The sequence below is a fragment of the Homo sapiens genome, chromosome 1, assembly GCF_000001405.40.
Source record: "Homo sapiens chromosome 1, GRCh38.p14 Primary Assembly".
Classification (NCBI taxonomy): domain Eukaryota; kingdom Metazoa; phylum Chordata; class Mammalia; order Primates; family Hominidae; genus Homo; species Homo sapiens.
Window position 1 is genome coordinate 48,005,003 of NC_000001.11, and position 3,820 is coordinate 48,008,822.

The 3,820-nt window shown below is 45.7% G+C and overlaps 1 annotated feature.

The window, feature by feature from the left end:
• Positions 412–962: an enhancer, noted in NCBI's record as "OCT4-NANOG hESC enhancer chr1:48471086-48471636 (GRCh37/hg19 assembly coordinates)". NCBI's record gives its function as "activates a minimal SCP1, AML or CMV promoter by ChIP-STARR-seq in naive and primed H9 embryonic stem cells {active_cell/tissue: H9 hESC(naive and primed)}" and the evidence as "EXISTENCE:reporter gene assay evidence [ECO:0000049][PMID:30033119]".

Below are 3,820 nucleotides of genomic sequence, written 5' to 3' on the forward strand. Positions count from 1 at the left end.
CTTCTCCACCTCTAGAGTGGGAGGATTCATTCATCCATTCATGCAACATATATGCATTGAGAGCTTAATCACAGCGTGGTGATAAAGAATTGGTTGACAAGATAGGCAAGGTCCTTGCTCACACAACTTATTTTCTAGGTGAGAAGAAAAATTATAAACAAGCAAATCAATAAAAATGGAGATAATGTAAGTGATAGAGAATGTCTGGTGAGTGTTGAGAAGGAGTCTGCCATGAGAAGATATGGGGGAAGAGCATGTCCAGCAGAGAGAACAGGCTGGGAAAAGGCCCAGAGGTGGGGAGGCACCTTGGTCAGTTCAGGAAATAGAGAGAAGTCCAGTGAACCTGGACCTAGGTCATGAGGGAGGAAATTCTGTTTGTTTGTTTGTTTTTGAGACAGGGTCTCACTCCATTGCCCAGGCGGTAGTGTAGTGGCACGATCTCCGCTCATGGCAGCCTCCGCCTCCTGGGTTCAAGCGATTCTCCTATGAGGGAGGAAATTCCAAGAGATGACATTAGAGAGATAGGAGGGGCCAGGTGGAGTAAGACTTTGTAGGTCAAGGTAAGGAGTTTGAATTCCAGCTTTGCTGAGAAGCTATAGGAGGGTTTTGAAGAAGGGTAACAGGATCCGATTTACATTTGTAAAAGAGCATTCAGATTTTGATGTGGGGGATGATGAGGCCAACACATGGGGAGTTCAGGGAGTGATTCAGTAAGGACGCTAGGGCAGTAGTTAAAGGGTATGATGATAGTGCCTTGGCCCAGGGTGATTGTAGTGAAACTGGAGGACAGTGAGCAAATGTGGTTCACATACAGTGACTGTTTTGTGGCATACATCATGTGAGAGGGAAAGAAAGAGAGGAATCAAAGGTGACGCTGAAGTTTTTATCTTGAGCAACTGGCTCCATCAGCTGAGATAGGGAGGCCTGAGGGAGGAGCAGGGGTTGGAGGGAGTGGAGGGAAGGTATCAAGAGGCCACCATTAGGTCATGTTAAGCAAGAGCTGCTTGCTAGGATCCAAGTAGAGGTGTGAAGAAAACAGCTTATAAGTGAGCCTGGGGCTCAGGGCAGCAGTCTGGGCTGGAAGAATAAATGTAGTATCCATTGCACAAAGATGATATTTGAAGCCAAGGTGCTGTTAAAGAGAGGGAGAGAATGGAAGAAGGCCTAGGTGTAAGTCAGGGAACTCATTCATTTCAAGTTTGAAAGAGAAGCATTCATCAAAAGAGACAGAAGTAGGAGAAAAACCAGGAGAGAGAGGTATCAAGACATCCAACAAAATAAAACAAAACAGGGAAGTGACCATTAAATTTGACCACAGGAGGCTGACATGAGACATTTCAGTGAACTCTTGGGGATGCAAGCTCAAGTGAAATAGGTTGAAGACAGAGAGTTGAGCAAGTGGAGACAGCCACTACAGGGAACTCTTTCTAGGAATTTTATGGTAAAGGGTAAAGAAATGGAGTGGAGTAAGAACAAGGGTCAATGGTGAAACTATTAAAAATATGAGTCATATATGTATTTGCAAGCCAATGTGAAGGATCTGGCAGAGAGAAGGGAACTTCTGATCCCAGAGAGAGAGGGGTTCACGGGAGACATCCTTGAGAAGTACTAGAGCAGCAAGAGGCTTGGGATCCAGAGAGAATGGAGTGGCTAATTCTTTTTTTTTTTTTTTTTTTTGAGATGGAGTCTCACTCTGTCGCCCAGGCTGGAGTACAGTGACACGATCTTGGCTCACTGCAGCCTCTGCCTCCTGGGTTCAAGCGATTCTCCTGCCTCAGCCTCCCAAGCAGCTGAGACTATAGGCATGTGCCACCATGCCCAGATAATTTTTGTATTTTTAGTACAGACGGGGTTTCACCACATTGGCCAGGGTGGTCTTGATCTCTTGACTTCTTGACCTCGTGATCCTCCCGATTCGGCCTCCCAAAGTGCTGGGATTACAGGCGTGAGCCATTGCACCTGGCCCTGGAGTGGCTAATTCTTGTTAGGACATTTCATCTGTGATTATAGGAGAGAAGGCCTCAAGCATGTGAATGATGTAGGTGGTCTGGTGGCTAGATAATGCTGTTCTGGGAGAATGATTTCCACTTTCTCAGAGAGGAAGATCTGAGCTCTGACCTGAGCCACTGGTCAGCTCCTAGCCCTGACCGTTGATACAGACTGAGCCAGTCCTGGCGCCAGACTGAGCTCTTCTTGTAGACTGAATGTCTAGTTCTGTCCAGACACCTCCCTTTGTTGATAAGAAAGAAGCTGGGAAAGCTTCTTTCACTATGGTGACTCAGCATAACCCATCTCTACAGCTGAAGAGAAAACTTGAAGCAAAGCCAGGCTCAGCAGGACCTGGATAGGTCCACAGATGAAAGGGAATTCCCCAAACTTGTCAGAGGAGGGGTTGGTAAGAGTAGAACCACTGATGGGGCATGTCATGACCAGATAGAGCCAAGAACAGGAGGTTATCGAAATGGACCAAAAGTTGGGATTCATTAGAAGGAAAGGCCCAGACTGAAGTAGGAATGGAAAATGAATGAGACTGGCCATGAGGACATGCAAGCAGATCTGAATGAAGTGGGTTGGGTGGAGTTATGGGTGATCCAGCTAAATCTCAGACTGCTAAGTGCTCTTCAGTGTTTTCCTTCTTTGTGGACTCTTGCAGGGCCAATGTGGTCTACGCAAATAGATTTACACATTTATATGGTGATCGAGAGTTTATAACTGTAAAACATATGCTGTGTAAGAAAAGGCTTTGGCCAGGCACAGACTCACGTCTGTAATCCCAGCTCTTTGGAAGGCTGAGATGGGCAGATTGATTGAGACCAAGAGTTTGAGACCAGCCTGGGCAACATGGTGAAACCCCATCTCTTCAAAAAATAAAAAAAAATTAGCTGGGCATGGTGGCAAACACTTGTAGTTCCAGCTACTTGGGAGGTTGAGGTGGGAGGATGGCTTGAGCCCAGGAGGCAGAGGTTGCAGTGAGCCAAGATCATGCCATTTCACTCCAGCCTAGGCAACAGAGTGAGACCTTGTCTCAAAAAAAAAAAGAAAAAAGAAAGAAAGAAAAGAAAGCCTTTACTACCATTAGTAGTGGATTGGATTGGGTTGGATTCTCCGCTCCCATTTTATGTTTGAAAGCCCTTTTGGTCAGTCTTATCAAGCAGTTGTCTGGACACTGCTTATGATATTTAGTGACAAGAAGCTCACTAAAGGCTTCACTTAAGGCCTAGCTTAATCTCTCCAGACCTCAATTTCCTCTTCTGCAAAGTGAGGAACAACAGTAATGTGTATCTTACAGCTTTGTTGTGGGAATCAAGTTAGATAATGAATGTGAATGCACTTTGTGTACTGTAAAGGGCTGTGAATATTACTTCTGTCATCATTATTAACAATACTAAGAAAAAGAAGAGGCCTCAAAAATATTTCCTGTACTACTTTCAAGTTCTCTTAAAAAGTCATGAAAGGGCCTGCATCACCTTCAACATGGATGCCCTGTGGAAGGAGCCATGGAAGTCTGTGTCATGGTGGCACCCGGGGCCACTGCATGGAGCAGGTGGGCAGGTTGCACTTCGCAGGAGGGGGCTCTGTTAAGGAGGTGAGTGGTAGTAAAATCCAGCCAGCACTCCGCTTGTCCAGCCTTGTGCCCTGGCAAGGAGCTGCATCTACAGTGATTCCACCAGGCACCATATAGGCTAGCACCCACCGGCATGCTTCCTAAAATGTTTAGGTTTGCTTGACCTTTAATTAGCAAATCCATTCATGGAGAATCAGATGAATTTCTGATCTTCAGCCATTGGAATTTTATGATGACTTTTCCATCCCTATACCC